The sequence below is a fragment of the Homo sapiens genome, chromosome 3 (genome assembly GCF_000001405.40).
Source record: "Homo sapiens chromosome 3, GRCh38.p14 Primary Assembly".
In the NCBI taxonomy this organism is placed as follows: Eukaryota; Metazoa; Chordata; class Mammalia; order Primates; family Hominidae; genus Homo; species Homo sapiens.
This window is the reverse complement of record NC_000003.12, coordinates 55,669,941-55,689,742: the sequence shown is the minus strand read 5'-3', so window position 1 is coordinate 55,689,742 and position 19,802 is coordinate 55,669,941. Positions and strand designations below refer to the sequence as shown.

The 19,802-nt window shown below is 42.4% G+C and overlaps 1 protein-coding gene across 20 annotated transcripts in view; it reads left to right on the top strand.

Moving 5' to 3' along the window:
* Positions 1–19,802, top strand: part of ERC2 (ELKS/RAB6-interacting/CAST family member 2) — a 960,157-nt gene that overhangs the window by 778,725 nt on the left and 161,630 nt on the right. For 4 of the 20 annotated variants that reach the window (NR_132749.2, XM_047447952.1, NM_015576.3 and 1 more), the window contains one exon: positions 5,884–5,949. The exons of 15 other annotated variants lie outside the window; for them this stretch is intronic. Coding sequence is in view for 4 of the 5 variants with exons in the window: in XM_047447952.1 (XP_047303908.1) it covers positions 5,884–5,910 (27 nt within the window). In the remaining variant the exon portion in view is untranslated. Of the gene's footprint in view, positions 1–5,883; positions 5,950–6,329; positions 8,102–19,802 lie in introns of those variants that run through there. One more of the 20 variants, XM_047447951.1, reaches the window with a different exon arrangement.

Below are 19,802 nucleotides of genomic sequence, written 5' to 3'. Positions count from 1 at the left end.
CGGCTCACCGCAACCTCCATCTCCCAGGTTCAAGCGATTCTCCTGCCTCAGCCTCCCCTCATTTTCTTTTTTAAGCAGCTGAGGAAATGAAGAGTCAAAAGGAAATTTGATTGCCTACCATGAAGGAAATGGCAGAACCAGAGTCATGTTAAAAACACAATTTTCACTTTGTTTAACAAAGCCAAGTGTTAATGACTGATCGATGAAGGAGCGAAAATAAAGCCTGTCTTCACTCCCACCCTTTTTTATGGTTATCTGGCAATGGTTCCGCTTTTAGCAGATGTTGATTTTAAGCTCCCAAACAATATTGTTGGCCGACATAGAGGCTTCGACCATTCTCATCTTCAGCTGGGTATCTGATGTCCTTGAGCTGAATGAACTGGCACAGTGCACCAAAGACTAGTTTGTCACAGCTATTTTGCTTGAAGGAAATAGAAAACTAGTTTCTTCAATTTGCCCTATAATGACGATGCAAAAAAAAAAAATTGAGGAAGCACTTAAAGATGTTATATTAGAAGTGGAGGAAAAGGCCACCCAAACTTCTATAACGTTCTTGATGGCTTGACAAAGTGGTCTCAGGTGGCTGCCCTGCCTCAGCGTGTCCTAGTGAGGTGAACTTGCTGAGAAGAACCAATCCAGGCTGCACAGATTCTCCAGTACCTGCCTCTCCCTTGAGAGACACCCCAGTGTGTCTTTTAAAATATGGACATCTCCTACTGTGATCCCCCTCAGCCAATGAAGTTTCGCTTTCACCACTGGGGTGTAGAAGAATAAACCAGAGATGTGGCTCGTGCGATAGAAGAGGGGAAGAGTCATTCTGAGAAGACACAAGTCAACACAATCTTGGCAATCGTAAGGAACTCTGGGAATCCAGGAAGCATATTCCTTCAGAGGAATCCAGTCATTCAAAACAGTGAGAACTGAGCCTTCCATAATTACTCATTTAGAAATATCTAAGTTCCCACATCTGAGAATCATGGCACAGTATGAAGGAGGTGAAGGTGCTGCCTTTCCCCTCAGAGATCTTAAAATGTGTTGGGGTGCTGCTGATATGTCCACGTAAATAGCTTCCACTTGCATATGAAGACCCCTTTCTTCCAAGAGCCAGAGGGACCCAACTAAATTGTAGCTTCTAGTTCCAACCATGGTCTTCAACAGCTTGGAAAGAAGGCAGGACCAAGTTCAACGTACTCTAGAGCTGAGCTAAGCAGAACCAACAAATGTCTTCTGGGGTCAAAGTGAACTCTTCTTTTTGTGGCTTCTCGGCTCATATGGTGGAGTCAGAAGGGTGTACTTTTGTGGTTAGACAGGCTGGAATTTGACCCTGGCTCCCCAGCTGCTGGCCAGGTGTCCTTTGGTGAGCTACCTGACCTCCCTCCCTGAGCCTTCCTTTCCATATCTGCACAAAGAACCTCCTGACACCTGTGTCACTGGGCCTTGGTGAGCCTCAGGGAGGAAACACAGAAGCCGTCAGCACTCTTTCTAACCTGGAGGAGGTGCAAATACATACTGGCTCTTTTCTATCCCAGCTCAGAAATAAGCTAACGCTTATTTTTAAAAGAGCAGGAAGCAGATTTCTGAACCTGGCTAGGACTTTCCTGTTTTGGCGGGGGATCTTACCTGCAAATGGGCCCCAGAGATTATAATAAATACAAGTCATGTAAGAGTTTATAGCCATACCTGACCCCATCACCTGAACAGAGACATTCATCCATGGACTAAGCATTCCAGGAAGCAGGAGAAATAAAAGACAGAATGAATGGTCTCCAGAGGGAAGGTTTGGACTTGACCTTAGCAGAAAACCTACTAGTACCCTGATGAGGCTCGGTGCCCCACATTTGCAGGCTCATGCCTAAGCCTATTGTTTTCCTTTACAGATGTGTCTGTTTTTCCCGGCTCTGGCCAAGCCTGCAGTTGGAAATGCTAACAGCATCTGCTTTGGTTGAGCCCAGGCTCAGGGCACATCATAAATTCCACACTGTGATCTTGCTTTCATGACTTGTGCAGCCAAACGTTGCAAAGTCCTGGGGCTTGAAGTTTCAGAAGCTTTAGAGAAGCCATGAATGAATTAGGGGTGGAGGCGAGTCTGAAGACTGCCCACACCAGACCTAGTTATAACCAGGATCATCTCCTTGCACCCCTTCCAGCAAGGTAGCCAGGTGGACCTTCCAGGCAGAGACCGTGGCTGAGTTCCCACAAAGGCAGTAGGCTATTTGAAAGTGATACTTCGCTGGTTCTACTTGCTTTCCTTTCTAGGACAGGAGTGACAGTAAGATCCCCATTAGGAACTTAATTCTTTGATTTCAAGAAAAAAAGCCAGCTATCAACTCAAAGAGAATTTCAGGTGTTTTAAAAAAAAAAAAAATCCGGTGGTGGCCTCAGGTTTGCCTGCTGGCTATACCTAATACTTCAAAATAGAGACCAATTAAAGGTTTACACTGGGCCATTCATTTATCATGTCAGATTATAGAGTTTCTTCTCAGAGCCTCTTTGCTGGAGCTAATAAATGCCCCCCCACAACAACAAGTCTCTTGTCTTGTCAACGATGACTCAGTCCCTTTGCCTTTAGAGCTTGTCATCAACATAGCCGCTGTGAGCAGCCCATCGGTGAGGAATTTTGTTTTATCTCAATATTTACAGAATCCCATTAGGGCGCAGCATCTGGGACTACAGGATTTCCATCAAGACCCCCTTGTCTGTCACGTCATCCCTGGAACTGTAGATGTGTCCTGAGGTTATTTGATAGTTAAACCTCCTCCCCTTCAGAATTTGCTGGGTTTTGTGGTCACTGTGCTCTCTGGGCTTCGGTCCACCTTGGATGTTCCCATCCCCAGATGAACAAAAGCATGCAGATGACTGATGGACTAGAGTCTTTCTTCCCATCCAGATATTTTGGCAACTGGTGGCAGAACAATCACTCACAAAGGACACACAAGGGATCAAACACCGAGCAGCATTCAGAACAGCCACTGCAAAGTAGATTTGGAAACAGAAAAACAAGGAAAGGAAACAGACTCTCCCAGGCCTGATAGATGCATTTTAAAATGCCAAGTATTTCTCAACAACTTAGCATGAAGTTAAGGATCAAGTGATACTTGTCTGTTTCTTATTTTTGGGTCCCCAAATTTACATTTCTGTGCAGTAAGGTTGCTGAACAAATTAATATTTGCATACAGAGATGCAGGCAGCGCAGCAGTGAAACAGCTGCATATGTTTGGAAAGACTTGGAGCTCCCGCACTGATTAGCTCCTGCATTTTTGTTTTTTATTCCCCAAACGGACACTCACTCTGACCCAGATCATTTGGCGATGAGGGTCAATTCATGTTTAAGCTTTGAAGGTTAGAGAGACCAGAAAGAGCCACCACTTCTCTATTTTCTTTTAAAAACTTTAAACTTTAAAAAACTAAAAACTTTTAAAAATGCATAATATTCTGAGTTCATGAAAGGAATTTATCCACATTTCTGCCACATTAAATGTTAGCAAAGTTTACATTGGACTGTCATATTTCTTTACTTTATTCACTAGCATACAAGATGTCGATCTGAACATCTGGTTTTTAATAACCCTCGACATCTGGGAGCCCCTTTTTATTCCTATGGTGGACGAGGAACAGTAGTAGTGATATTGGCAGCGTGTACTTTCAAACTACAACTCCTGTCTGTTTCAATCATAATTAATTACCACTTTTTAATATATTTAATTTGCTAAAAGTGATTTGCATTAGACCACATTCCACTGTTAAGAAAATAGTAGTAGGTTTTGGTGGCAGTGGCTTTTCTTTTTGCTTACTTTCTTCTCTTTTAAAAATTAAAACCTGATAGGAATGGATTTGGAACAAAATGAATGTATATATGTTGGGTTTTAAATGTGAAATGAAATAAACTGCTCTGCAAGTTATTTTATAGCTATTTAGGAAGAAGTCGGCAGTGGCCGTAGGCTGTGTTTTAGAGAAAGCCTCCTATTTTGCTTTGTGACTTTGGCAAATCATAGCATCCTTCTATGCTTGGAGTTTTTCTACAGCAGCGATTCTGGGGGTCAAGAATCATATGATGAAAGCTAGGGCCTCCATCCAGAGACATATATTTGCACACATACTCAACAACATTCTTCATTGAATTTCAAGGGGTTGCTAGGCCCCTTGAAACCCATTTATGAATGGCCTAGGGTCTCATGGTGTAAACTTCCCTCCTTCATGAAGATGAAAAGGAGCATCAAAGTTTCTTTTCTCCAGGGACAGAGAGGAAGTTAAATGAATGTAAAAATACATTTTTCCTAAGTCACATAGGGAAAAGGGAAGTTTCTTGGCAAGAGCAATTATTAGACTGTTTAATAATAAATAAACACAGATAATTTTTACATAAGAAGGCCCAGCTAAAATGATCAATGTGTTTTATTGTTTGCCAGAATATTCCTACCTAAGCTGTCAAGTGAAAATTCATACTGAGTTGTCCAGTTCAGACTCTGTGCAAATCATTCCATTGACTCAAGTCAGTCAGGGATTTGTAACCTTCGTGGGCCGTGGATCCCTTTGGCAGTATGATGAACTCTCTGGATCTCTTCTCAGAATACTTTTTTCAATGCATAAAATAAAATACATAGAAATACAAAGGAAATAAACTGTATTGAAAGTCAGTTGAAAAATAAATCTTTGAGTAGATAAAAATGACTAGGCCTATTGGCCGGATTAGGTGGAACTGTATGAAACTGCTATTTTTCTAGGTAAAAATGGCCAAATATTGGCATTTTCATAGGATTCAACCTAAGAGTGTAACAACTTAACCAATAAGGAGTCAAATAATGAGAAAATGTTCCAGGTTATTTTTTTTCTTCTATTCCTGATTTTCAAAACAAGAAGCAAATTATGGAAAAATCTGACTTCACTGGAGACCTATTAAAAGGCACAGCTCTCAAACTATGTGTGACACCAGGGTATGTTTCAATCCTTGCAGTAAACTGTGAGAATTGTTCAAAAAAGGGACTTTGCTTTGGGGATATACTTCTGTCTTCAAAGATTCCATTTCCCTCTATATTAGCCACTTCACTAAGTGAGGAAAGTCACCAGAGCTATTTTCGAAACACTTTTCAACAAGAATTCCAACCAAAGAAGTTTCAGTTTATCCATAATTGAACACAATTTTAAGTTAAGCAAAACTTTCTTTCTACAAGCATTCTACTGAATTGAAAGTTTACCTCTCTTTTCTTTGAAACTTATTTGATTGCAAATGTATAATCATTCCATGCAACTGTATAATCATACCATCGCCAGTGCATCCTCTTTCATGCTGAGAGCAAAATAGAATCTGTCAACTAAGAAGATCGCAGCATGTTTGAGCCTTTGTGGAATAACCAATATGAATTATCGCATGCTGAAAAAGTTTGTTCCACCCCAGTAGATGGAGTTGTGTGTGTGTGTGTGTGCGTGTGTGTGTGTGTTTTTAATTCTTCAGCCTTTATTGATACTTTAAGCTTAAGAGAAATTAAGGGTATTTGATTACTATAATTACTTCTCTGCTTACTTAAAAGGTTTAATCTACTCCTTAGGCATATGCAATTCAGATTGCATGCTTTCCAAAAAAATAATCATCTGCTAATGTAGACTAATTTTAATCTTCTAATCCGATTTTGACACAGACTCAGAGCTGGGTGGGTGGAATGTTTTTGTGTGTGGGTTGCCATAGATACAAAACCCGGTTATGTATTTGACAAGTCGGTGATGTGGAATTTAAGTTACTATGGATTTTTTTCTTCAGTCTTGAAGATTAAAAAACAAAGTGAAGATTAGTGTGCCTTTCCAGTGCATCTCGGTGTAACTAACCTTCTCTTCTTTCATTCTGGTGCTCCCCTCCTCTCTGTGCACCTCCCCACCTCGGGCCGGCCGCAGGATGACGAGGAGGGCATATGGGCATAGCCGGGCCTGTAAACCAAAGTTCCAGTTTTGTTTTGAGGGGTGAGAAACCATCTTTTATATCATTTTTATTAAAAAATTGCATTCTAGTGTTGTATTGTGTGCGTGCTCGATTGTGCTCGCTGATGTTTGTGAATTGTGCCCTGTGTTTGCTACTGTGTTCTGTGAGCGCAGAATGTCCGCGTGCCCTGACCCTTCCCAAGAGCCCCCTCCATCCTACCTCACCTCCCCACCCCACAACCACATTACTGCTCTGCCTTGTTGGGGCTGGGTTTAGCACGATTCAAATGTTTCTGTGTTATTTAAGATGTAAACTGTGCCCTTACTAGGATTTATACACACTTTTTAAGGCATGATTGTGGACTCAGAAATTGTCGCAATTCTCCAGTCGTGGTTTTCAGCCGACTGCTTGCTTTCACCAGATATGCCAGTGTGGTGTGACTCTCACGTCCTTCTGGTTGTGTCAAATGTTTGGCAAGGAATAAGGAAAATAAAATATGTATCTTCATGGAGCTGAAACTATCATCTCTAAGAAGGCCGTTTAATGGATTGTGCTATCTCTTCTATGGCAGTTCTGAAGAAAACACAAGGATCAAGGCATAGTAATGGTGAATGGGTAACTGTAACTCTTTAAATGAATTAGAATAGAAACATTCATATTAGCAGGTCTTATTAGTGACATTTTATCTGTTGCTTTTTAAAAATTATACTTCTATGAGGCTTTGCATTAGAAATTATACACATTGTATTTATCAGAGGGTTTTGTATTTTAAAAGCTGATCTTTAGCTATTGAGAATCCACCCTTTATTTACATCCTGTCTGCATTACGATTGAATAGTGACACATGTAATTACCACATGGTTATGAATGGAATACTGAAGTCTAGCAACTTTTGCTGCTGGGAATTACACCTCTCCTCTATACTGCAGGCTGTTTAACACCAAGTCACAAACTCCCTGGAGTTGAATATACACATGGTTACATGGAATATGGTATTAAACTTGATAACATTGCATATGATGTTTTATTCAGAACAAGGAATGTGGTTGATTGTGTGCCATGGTGATTTTTTTCTGATCAGAAAGTATTCAATCTATAGCTCTTTATTCTGGGACAAGCATGAAATGACACAGTGCTGGAGATTCAACAGGTGTGGGACAATTCTTTGGGATAACTTAGCATGTATGTCTTTCCCCGAGTCTTGCCTTCAAATAGCATGGCAGGTAGTGCTTCAGGTGAAGTTTAACCAAGAGCTGGTACGTTTGGCCTGTGGGTGACGTTTCATTGTTGTGTTTTACTTCTTAGTTGAACCTGTTACATGTCCCACTAATGGGTCAGTTTGCTTTTTTTGGTACTGAGGGGGCAGTTCACAGGATGGTGGTTTTCAGGTACGACATCTTTCTACATAGTAAAGATGTAATGCCTCCTGGATCCATTTGCTGCCAGTAAAACCTGCTTCATGTTAATACAGAAGTATCTCATCTCTTCTCCCTTTTCTTGGCAAAGGGGAAAACGGCACTGGAATTAACACTTCCAGATGCAAAGTCATTCTGCAGGAAAGCTTGTCAGTATGAGGAAGTGGGGAAATCAGAGAAGTTCTGGATGTCTATGGGAGCAACTCTCTCCCTATGTAGGGAAAATATTAAGAGAAATGTCACATTTACTCACAGAGAAAAGCTAATAAAAGTGGCAATTGACCTAAAGTCATATGAAATGAGAAGAAAGCGTTTTATAGCGTTAAAAAGCAAACACATGAAGCCTGCCTCAAACATGCATGGAAGAGGTAGGTAAAGGAAAGTTCTAAGAGTTTGGCAGTTGTCTTGAAAAGTGTAGATCCTACTTGGGGCTCTTCTGTGAAGCTACTTCTGCCATCATGAGTATCAGGGCGCTAGGCTGCACTTGTGTTTCCTCCTGAATAGTGAAGATTTTGTATTGCTCTTTCACAAGATTCATGACACCCTGAGATATGAACAGTGTTGTTATCCTCAGGATGGAATTGGCTCCAAGACCCGTAGGAAATCTTGCTTTGCTTAAGGCAAATGCAGACGATTGTATTAAGCCCTATCCCCTTTATTTCTTCGTGAATTTCCCCAAATGCCATGCACACCAGAAAATAAATGTTTTTAGAAATTTAGTCAATATATAATCCTACTTTAGTATGCTGTAATAAATTTCATATGCTTCAGAGGAAAACTACTTATCTTTCTTTATGACTCCTTTAAACAAGTTTGCTTAGATATCCTCAGGCTTTTAAAACCATATCTTTAAGGATTTAAATAATGAGATACTGGGGGAACCTTCTGTTTTTGAGCAGCCGTTGCATGTTTTGAGTTGCATTACAATCCATGAGGCCTTAGGAGACATTAAATTTATAACTAAAGATGGATAATAGTGGTACATTAAAAATTAACTGTTTTCAATGTTTTGATTTATGGCCCCTATAAAAGAAACATCACAAGATGTTATTTTACTAGACATCAGTAATATGCTCATAATAGCATCGGAAGGCTCTGACTTGAATCTGGAGTTTTGGTGCTGAAATGAACATAATTTAGAAAAAGTCACTCTAAAAATTACAACAAATTGGAATTAGCATAACAACCCCATCAGCTCCTCCCTTTTTTGCCACTTCTGGAGGCTAAGTCCAGACATGATTTATTTGTCTCACTATGGTCATTCAAGAGTGGTATTTTCCGAGCACACGGTGGACCGGGGAAAGTTTACTTTTCTAAAGAGTTTTGACACCCCCTAGAGCTAGCCTTTCCCCTCTTAAACCTCACACCCAGGCCTGGATTTATCAGCGTATGGCCTGTGCAGTCCACAGGCCCTACACTTGGAAGGGCTTCACTCTTAGGTTAAAACTCTGCTGTCACTGTCTTGAAATTCCTAATGTTTTTCAAAGAAGGGGCCTCACATGTTCATTTGCCCTCAGCGCCACTAATTATGTAGTCTATGCTGCCTACACCAAACATATATTCCTATATTCTGCTTCCCAATTCTCTTTATACTCCCCCTCCCTGTTGGATCATCCACACTCTTGTTTTCTTATGCCTAAGATTTACCTGTGGCCAGCCTCATTGTTCTGGGTTTCTTCTAGAGACTCCACGGGATCACTTTTCCAGCAAGTTCTTGCCATCATAGGCATCCCTGGCAAAGCATATTCAACCACTGTCCTCTCACCACCAACCCCCCAAACCCCACACTCACACATACTTTCAATTGTGAAAATGTGCTCTTGGAGGCCTAACTGTATTCCCTATCTTGCCTTGCAAAATGCAGAAAAAGCAGCTCCTCAATTCTCCATAATTGTTCTTCAGGAAAATCCACTTAATGTAGGTATCATTTGTGTCAGCAAATACTTCTTCATTTACATTGAATGAAGGTGCTTTCCATGGATCCCCCAAGAGGCATTCGGGTTTGCGAACATCAATGAGGTAGGCAATGGAGGAGCAAATCGAGGCACCTTGTGAGATTTAGTGCCACCTCTGCCTCGACATTTGAATGTTTGAGCTCTTACTGTGAACTCTTGTAATTGAGCAAAGATAGAACACAAGTTTTTATTTCTTAAACCACTAGAAAGGAATTAGTCTTTTTTGATTGAAAACATATGCAAATTTTTAGGACCCGATTCATAAAAATACAGATGTGGCATTAACAAGTTTTGGCATGAGGCTGTGATGCTAGTAGATGCAGCCTGTTCAAAATGAAGAATTGTAGCTGTCTGCCACCAGCTCATGGACAATGTTATGGTGAGTAAAAATATGAATCCCAGAACATTTAGACACGAGGAAGTGGTGTTTTACAAATAAAAGCAGTGCTGGATGGCCCAGTGGAACTCCCTGCCATGCCTCCCCTCTGGAAGAATGAAAGAAGGAGGAAGGAGATGTTTTATTGTGGCTAGGAAGTTCAGGTCTGACTTGCCTTCTTTTAGCGGACAGGGTCTGGACACTAGGCCTGTGCTTGTCCTGGAACTAGAGAAATTTAATGGCTGCAAAAAGAAAATCAAGGAAAGAGCTCTGAGCTCTACACAAAGCAGAGGTTTCTATACAAAGTGGTGGTTTCTATGCAAAGTGCAGGTTTTCTTTCACACCGCCTGTACAGGGGTAGCTACTGCTGCTTTTAATGCAATTTAGATTTTGTATAACTGAGGATCTGATATATCTCTTTCTTGTGCCATTGGCTACTAAGACTTTCATTTATTCATTCATTCATTTATTATTCACTCATTTGTCCATTCTTTCACCAAACGGTTAAGTTCTCAGTTAGATGCTAGGAAACCAGTGACGAATAAGATTGCCATGGTTGCTCCCCTGTGGATCTTGCCATCTAGTCAAGGGACAGAATATAAATAATTAGACATCTCAATAGAAACCTTGCACGTTTTGGTCATGGCTTTGATGGAAACCAGAAAGATACTGAGATTAACTTGAGGAACCTACTTAAGGAAGGATGTTCAGCAAGCATCTCTCCAAGGAAGTAAGTTTTAAGCCAAGTCTTAAAAGGGGAGAGTCAGGAGGTATCCATGCCAAGGCGTGCATTTGGGAGGTGGTCCCGGGAGGCATGCAAAAGCTGGAGGTGGGAAGGAGTTTATAAGCTGAAGAGGCTTGAAGACCATAACTCTGGGTAGAGCACAAAACAGTGAGATGAGGATGGAGAAGAAGGAAGGGACCAGAAAACGTAGGGCCTTTTATGGCGAGGTAGAGAGTTTAGATTTTAAGCCTAAGAAAACTGAGCAGACATCAGAGGAGTTTAAGCAGGGACATGACATGATTTGATTTATGTTGTAGAACAACCCTGGCTGCTGTGTAGAGGATGAATTGTCGTGGCAGGAAGAGCAGAAGTAGAGGCTGTTCCATGATCTGTGAGAGAATTGATGGCACTGACCCAGGGCAGCAGTAGTGGAGATGCAGACAAGTGGATAAATTGGAGATAAGACTAGGAAGGTGAAGCCAGGAGGACTTGGATGGGGAGGTAAGACAAAGGACAAAATTGAGAATGCCTCCAGATTTCTACCTTGGGTGTCAAAGCTGGAGCAGGCCATTATTGGTGGTGGTGGGGGCACTGAGAGGGAACTCAGAGTTCTGGTTTCCCCAGATGTCCAGTCGCTCTGGCCAAGGGAAGGGCAGGCTTTTGACCTTGGCTGTTTTCCATGTTCCTGCATATCAGCAGGGGAATCTCTGGCCTCTTATTGCAGTAATGTGCAGGCTGACAAGTTTAAAGCACGTCTGAAGTCTAACTTCAAGAGTGGGTGGCTCCTCCAACTCTTGAAGAAAAGGAGATTGCAAAGCAAAATCAGTAGTTATAGAATAAGAAGACATGTAAGGGGTAGCAATCTGTGGAAAAACAAAAACCCCAGAGTTGTAGGAGGTTGAAAGGGACCTAGGGACTAGAGGGACCTAGAGAGAAGGAAGTTGCCATTGGCTCTTGTAGTTCCCCCTGAGATCTCCAGGGATCAAGAATTCTGTCAGTTAAGGGGTACAACATGAGATTTTGATTGCTCTTGATAATTGACTTCTCATCTTGAAATTCTAAGTATATTATTTTTCTGCAGAAGAAGCTTTCAATAATCTCTTTTCAGGAGTTAATATGAGAACTAACCAGAAGTAGCTACGAGGTGTTTTAGAACCACCATGACAATGTCTCTGCCTACTTCCAATTGCAAAATCGATTCCTGGGCAAAGTAAGATGTTTTTGCTTTATCTCTGTCCCCACTTCCTCCTTTTATTTTGCTCTTCTACTCCTCTGGAAGGTGTCTGTATATTTATATCTTCTATTCAGGCTTACAAAGCTGCTGTTTAGAGCTTCAACTTGAATATCCTATTCACAGTCTTTGCAATTAGTAATTTATTCAAAAAATATTTCTTCATCTTAGTACTGGAGATGTACTGGATATACATCTCAGTACTGAGTCAAGGTAGTGAACAAAGTGTGATTCCTACCCTCGAGGAGCTTAGAGTAGTACATAGATTCTCAAGCAGGCGTCCATAAGCCCTGGAGGCTCTGCAAATCCCCTGACATGGTTAATAGGCTTCAATGTGGATGTATGCACATCCCCACAAAGAGAGTATTTATTTATGTTCCTCAGCAGATAGAGGGGCCAGTGACTCAGAAAAAGTGAAGAAGACCCTCATCTATGGTGGGGTGGCTAACAGTGTGGTCTCTGGATTCAGATAGACCTAGGTTTGGATGATCGTGGGTAAGTCACCTTCCGTCTCTCCCCTCCATTTTCTCTTTGAGGAAGGTTGTGACACCCCCAGGGCTGTGATGAGCTGAGTAAGATGCCAAGTCATGCCTGGTGCACAGTGAGTATTCAACCCTGGGTAGAATATCAGTATATCACTATTATTGTTACTTCTGGGCTCAGGAAAGTGTACTGTATCCATAAACAGAGGAAAGTGGTTGATACTGGGGTTGTTGAATTTGGGAGGTAAAAGAAAAGGCAAAAGAAAGGTAATCTATTCCTATGGCCATAGCTACACCCAAGCCACCTACATAGCAGGCCTTACTTAAAGCATGTTTACCCTATAAACATACCCTCTCCAGTTACCTTTGATTTTTATAACACTTGGGTATAGCAAAGGAAAGTTTGATTGTTGGAGAGTATGAATTAGTCCCTGTTTATAGCAGAGGGTTTCTTTCGGCTTAAAGAAAAATCTAATGAGTAACATGAAAGCCAATGAATATTTAACAAATAATTAATTGCGAGCTAATGAATTGGAAGAGAGAAAAGGATAATAATGTCTCAGTCCACCTCTTTCTGCTCTCAAGGGTGATGGACTTGGGGGCCAAGGTAGAAGCTTTTAAGGAGATTGGAGGGCAGTAAATAAGTTCTTGTGGGTTTCTCTGGAGCTCATAAGGGTTACCTGGCAGAGCAATGCATGTTGGCTTAGATATGACCACACTCTGAGGACCTGAAATCTGGCTGAGAAATCATAAACAAACAGTGGTGATAAATTACCACTGGGCCAGAGGCGGGAGGCGTCTAGCAGAGTGTTGTTACATTACATTACATCCTTCCTGTGCCAGGGCTGGCGCACAGGGAGCATGCTGGCTCTCCCACCCTTTTGTCATTTGCTTTAGAGTATGCTGTTGGTCTGGTCTTGTTTAACCTCTTTATTAATGATCTGTAAAGGGGAGAAAAGAGCATGTGAAGGAAAGTCACAGATGACACTAATTTGGAAGGTGTTGGAAACACTAGTTGAGGTCAGAGAAATCACACAAATGGCCTGAAGAAGGTTAGGAACATGGAGGGAAAATAACAAATCTTGGAGAAGTCCAGACACTCACATCTGGTGAAAATTAATCTGAGACACAGATACCAATGGGTGGGAGGGATATGAAAAGCTGAATGCTAAAATAATAATAATAATAATAATAATAATAATAATAATAAGCAGCTCAGTAAACGTCAGCGAAACCAGCCAGCCCAAAAGTCTGCTATGGGTGAGAGTAGGGAGAGAGGTGCCTTTGGTAGTTAGCACTGTCAGTGTTAGCAGGTGCCAGAGAGACATGCGTGATCTTATGTGACAATTGTCTTACACCTGGGACATCACAATATTATACATGCTTTATCTCAGAGGATCACCCAAGTTATCAGAAAGATGGAAAGAAAGGCTGTGCACGCTGGCTCACACCTGTAATCCAAGCACTTTGGGAGGCCAAGGCGGACAGATCACTTGAGGTCAGGAGTTCAAGACCAGCCTGGCCAACATGGAGAAACCCTGTCTCTACTAAAAATGCAAAAAAATTAGTTGGGCGTAGTGGCACATGCCTGTATTCCCAGCTACCTGGGAAGCTGAGGCAGGAGAATTGCTTGAACCTGGGAGGCAGAGGTTGCAGTGAGCAGAGACCGTGCCATTGCACTCCAGTCTGGACGACAAGAGCGAAACTCTCTCTCAAAAAAAAAAAAAAAAAAAAAAAAAAAAAAAAAAGAAAGAAAAGAGAAAGAAAGATGGAAAGGGTTTTTAAACGATGCAGGGCATCATTTAATGTTGGAGGCAGAACCAAAGCTTCTAAAAGAATTATTAATAACATTTGAAAATGGCCATAATGGCACTTTCAGGGAGACCAGAAGGTATTGCTCTAGAACATGCAAATGTGGGGTTGAGAAGGCTCACAGGTTTCATTTTGAGACTTGTAGCCTGAGAATAGATACTTCTCAGAGGCCTCTTTGGGGAGCCATCCAATTGGTGGCCAACGTAATGCTCTGAGTCAGAATTGTCTTGTTGGTTCAGGGAAAGCAACTCCAGCCCCACCTCTTTCCAACCATCTCCACAGCCCCAACCAAAGGGGAAAACCAAGACGACATCTAAAATCAGAGCACATATTATGGCCACCACTAGGTGTATCAATCAGAATGGCTAGATTCCTTTCTGCTATTGGAGCATCCATTGGCTGGAGGTCATTAGCCTTACCAAGACGTACCTTAACTCTGTCCTCAGGCCTCCCCCATATATTCCTTCTCCAGAGTCACATGATCTCTGCAGGAAAATTGCTAGTCCACCATCTGGTGGCTACCTGGTGTTCTTATGAAACTCTTACTGCAACCCTCATTGTGGCTTCCCCATGAACATGTTTGTCAGAGACTTTGAGATGGGAATGTATTCTGGGAATATACATGTCCTCTAGCTTTGTTTTCTGGGAAATATAATGTAAATGCTGAGAACAACAGCACACAGCAACTGAGAACTTCCACTGTGCCAGGTCAGGATCTAAGGTGCTCGTGTGTTCAATCTTGAGTGGAGTAAAATTGGGATGTCAGGCCCCCATCCCTCTGAAGCAGATCCTGCACTTGTAAACATGGGTCCATGCATGCCTTGCAGCTCACAGGGTTGTTCCCATGGTGACAAAATCACTGAGATGCTGAGCCTTTATAAGGAGACTCCTTGCCATTTCTTTCAGCCTAAGAGTCAGCGTTTGCAACCTCACCGTGTGCCCTTCTGCTGTGCACCTTAATAAATCAGGTCCCTTCTTTTAGGTTTGTGTGGGTGGTTGAAGGGCAAGGGTAGCTTTAAAATCTGCCAGTCCCCAAACATTTCCTTAGTTCCTCAGTCACTGTGTATATGCAGAGAGGTAGAAACAGAGCCCCTGGAAGTTTGAAGAAGAAAGATTGTTATAATCTCTTCGAGAGAAGATTTCTCAGTTAAACCTATTAGATCCAGAATAAAAAGGCAGACTCCCATATGTGGCGAAAGACCCCTCGCTGCACATTGTATCTTTGTCCATCAGAGGGCAAACATAAGACGAGGCCCTGAAATAATAATCGCAGATTGCTTTCACTGGGAAATCTGAGCTTCCTACAGCCACCAATTCATTTTCCTCATGTATTACTTTTATGCTCATTTTACAAAACTTAGGAAATTTAATAAGTATATCAGGAAAAAAATTTTCTCAAAATCCTCATTCAGAGAAAGCATCATTTTTAACTTTTCAGTATATATCTTGCCATATTTTTCCTATGCAGATGGTCTTGTAAATATGTACTTGATGGAGATGGGAATCTCTGTCTTTGCATAATCTTTGGCGCAGAGTGGTTGGGCAGTACCCAGGCTCTAGAGCCTCACAGACCAAGTTCAAATACTGGTTCCACCACTCCCACCTGATGGATTAAGCCTTTAAAGGTAGCTAAGACTGTTTTTGGTGGTGTTATCATTTACTTGGCATTACATGACTGTTTTTCACATCTGTTTATAATTTTAAGATATGCTCTGCATCGGGCAGTCGGGAGGTCAGGGCAGGCTGGAGTGGCCACGCACACTAGAGCCCTTTGGATGCAGAGGCTGGGAAGAGTACACTGTTGCCCATTGGGTTTGTTCTTGGCAGTGGCATGAGGCTTCATTGTTCCCTGCTCACGTGTCAGAGGAGTGCCTCTGATTGCCCTGAGTCAGCGTGTGATGGAATTAGCAACCTTGCTGATCCCCCAGCCTCTGCTGTTCTTCTTTCTGTGCACCTTGATCCCTGAAGTCACTGTGTTATTTGAAAGGAGTTTCTGTACAAATCACTCTACTAAAAAAAAAAAAAAAAAAAAAAACTTGGTAATTAAAAAGGGAGTCTCCCCATTGGCCCACGGCACTGGATTGTAAACGGATTCAGTGTGTGGGACTCTGGCTGCTGTTTTGTGTTGGGTTTGTGGTTTTACTTATTTTTTTGTACTTGTCTCCCCTGGTGCTGGGGCACTAGCTTGGGAGCATGATAAAAATCATGTTATCGAAGAAACCTCTCTGCTCCTCTTTTTTTTTATTTTTTATTTTTTTGAGACGGAGTCTTGCTTTGTCACCGGGCTAGAGTGCAGTGGTGTGATCTTGGCTGACTGCAACCTCCGTCTCCCAGGTTCAAGTGATTCTCCTGCCTCAGCCTCCCGAGTAGCTGGGAGTACAGGCGTGCGCCACCATGCCCAGCTAGTTTTTGTATTTTTAGTAGAGACGGGGTTTCACCATGTTGGCCAGGATGGTCTCAATCTCTCGACCTCGTGATCTGCCCACCTCGGCCTCCCAAAGTGCTGGGATTACAGGCGTAAGCCACCGTGCCCGGCCTCTGCTCCCCTTTGTCTGAAGGCAGGTGACACATTGGGAAACTCATGGCAAGCCTGTTTTCTTCTCAGAGAGGAAGGGCTTGCAGGGCTAACAGTGTTTCCCCCAGCTGATCCGAAACATGATTTGGGCTCAGTACAATTGGCCACTGCAAAGAATTGTCCTTCCCCCTCACGGAATGTGGAATGAGAAAGGGAGAATGAGGAAGTCTTCTAGAGCCAGAGAGCAATCTTTGTCCCTCATTATATAACAGGCTTGGGACACAGGGAAATCTAATATATCAGATAAGGAGGTGACGATGTGTGAGGGTGCCAGCTAAGATGCACCAGATGAATTTTCTCCATGTTATTATTTTTAAAAATTATGAATGCACCAACATGCTGATGGAGCCCGGACTGTTGAGCCATTTTTTCATGTGAGGGCCTGACTCCATGCAAGAGACTCCTACGCCCCGAAGCCTGCAGGAGCTTTATGTAGCTGGGTTGCATTTCCATGGCAGGGACTGGGGACAGGGAAGGATGGACTCTGGCGTTTGCCCCTCTGTAGGTCACTGCTGTCCTGACAAACACTGAGGGGGCCTTCAGCACAGTGGCTTTCTGCCTAGTTCACTCATCTTAGGGAAAACACCTTAAAGTTCCAAGAGCTGACACTGCCATTTCTTCTACTTCTGTCTCACTCACATAGCACCCTTGCCAGTTTAGAGAAAATGCCCTGTGTCCCTGATTTTCATCTGATCTCCCATCAGCTCTACGAGGAGGGCAGACAGGTGACACCATGCCCATTTTATAGAGTAAGAAAAGGAGGTTTGTCCAGGGCTATACAGATGAGACACAGGGGAACTAGTACGTGAACTTCAAACATGTGACTCTTGGCCAGCTACTCCTTCCACTATAGTAGTAATTCCCTAAGGTGTTCCTCAGTGCACTGATGGTGTTGGATATTAAAAGACTTTTTTTTTTTTTTTTTTGAGATAGGGTCCTCCTCTGTCACCGAGGCTGGAGTGCAATGGTGTGATCATGGCTCTCGGCAGTCTCAGACTTGTGGGTTCAAGCGAGATCCTCCACATCAGCCTCCCATGTAGCTAGGAGGCACACACCACCATACTTGGCTATTTGTGTAGGGGTGGGGGGCCTAGAGATGGCATCTTGCCATGTTGTCCAGGTTGGTCTCAAACTTCTGGACTCAGGTGATCCACCTCAGCTCCCAAGGTGCTGAGATTACAGGAATGAGCTACCCGACCTGGCCACTATTTTAAAAAATAGTCATAAAGGCATATGGTGTTCAAATAAGTTTGAGCAAAGCTGGATTAAACAGCATTAATAGGTTTCTCCACTGCAGGCCTTCTCAGAGCCTTCAATAGGCCAGGGTCCTCCAGTCAGCTGTCACACTCCAGAGAGACAGCGTTTGCTGTGCTTATTGCTCACAGCCCCTTTTCTTCTCACACCCTCATGTAGAATTAGGGTGCACAGAATATATCTGGGGAAAGTTTTGCTGCAGCCTGACTTCTCTTGGACTATAGGATGAGCCATTTTCCAAGCAGGTGGAGCTACCACCACTGACTGAGGTGGTTAACACGAAGCCTGGACAACCGCATGCCAAAAATGATGAATTGGCCTGAAAAGGAGAAGGCCGATAGCCTAGCACCACCATTAGGCTTTTCTTTTTCTATGTTTGGCAACTATGTTTTGCCAAGTGCTTACTTATGTGGAGCTTAATGGGCATATATATTCACTGTTCAAGAAGACTGAGACAAATAAAAAGGAACTTGGGGCCTTTCTCAAAGGATGTCGGCAAAGGAGAGGCTAGCATTTCCTCTCCTGTGCCGATGACCACGTGCCCACCACTGTCCCAAGTTAGGGCTTACTAGAAAACTTTGCAATGTCCAGATAGTAAATATTTTAGGTTTTGTGGTCCAAAATCTGTGGGCAAAATCCAGATATAGATGTTTATATAACAAGAAAGAAAACAAATGTTCATAGATTTTTTTATTGAAGAAATTCAAAATATAATGAGTATAATTTTTTGTAATATACCTCTACTAATGAGAAGAGAGTGGGTTTCTTTTAGGGGATAACATGTCACTTTATTGGGGATCAAAATTAGTATTCTCTGTTATCAAAATATATTGCAAATGTTCATCTGTTAATGATGATCTGTAATGGTATTTTATGTATTTCATCTTTAAAAATATCTGTCCATACAGATAGGTGATATGCATGACACTCAAAGTCTGGTCAAGTTAGAGCAACCTTGCTGCCATTTGTAGTGTGTGAACAGCAGTGCAAAGCCATGAGTGTGCCACGTGTGGTCTTGGCTGCAACTCCATAACCCTGCCATTGCCATGCAAAAGCAGCCAGAGACCATACGAGTGGGCATGGCTGTGTTCCACTGTAAACTATATTTATGGACAGTGAAATTTGAATTTCATATCATTTCCATGTGTCACAAAATATTCGTTTTAAAAAAATTCCCCCCCAACTGTTGAAAAAGGTAAAACCCATTTTCGACTTGCAGACCACACAAAAACCAGTGGCTAGCTGAATTTGACCTATTGGGCCATTATTTGCCACCCCATTCTAAGTGCTTTCACATTGGTCATCTTGTTCATCCTGATGTCTCCGTATGTGGTATGTACCACTATGATCCTGTCTTCAAGATGAGGAAATTCAGACACAGAGAGGGAAAGCTCTTTGCCCAAAGTCACAAAGCTCCAAAATCTCAGAGCTAGGATCCGAACCCAGGTATGTCTGACTCCAGAGCTGCAGGGCGGTTGCTTGTCTGCACTGACTCACATTGCATTCCCCATGGTGACCCTTTTCAATCTCTGCTGTAGTCTTCAAGCTCCCCAACAAACTCCCCTCATGGGAAGGGGAAGATGGGCCCATTTCTTTAAGAATCGTGAAGACAGCCAACAAGGGCTCTGTCCATTTTCATCCTCTCCACCTTAGGGGTTTTCTCCATTGACCACTTCTCTGCTTTCTTCTCACATCTTATTTCACCACCTCTTCCTCCTTTTGTTCTTCCCTTTTTTCATGAGTAGAATGTCCAGTCTGCATATAGGATCTCATGGGGTAAGAGTGTGAGCTCTGCATTCCAGATCTGTCCCTGAAAGCTGTGTGACCTTGGGCACAATATTTAATCTCTCTGAATTTCCAATGTCCTCATCTGGAAAATGGGGAAAGCGATTTCTTACATTTTCCTCCCTCATGGAGTTCTTGTGAAGATCAAACGTAATAGTGGTGTAAAATGCGAGCTCAGTGCTAGTACATAGTAAGGCACTCCATAAATACTAGCCTTGTTGTTTTTATTTTCTTCCCTACCACTACCTACTCTACATTGATCACCTCTCACAGGCTTGCCACGTC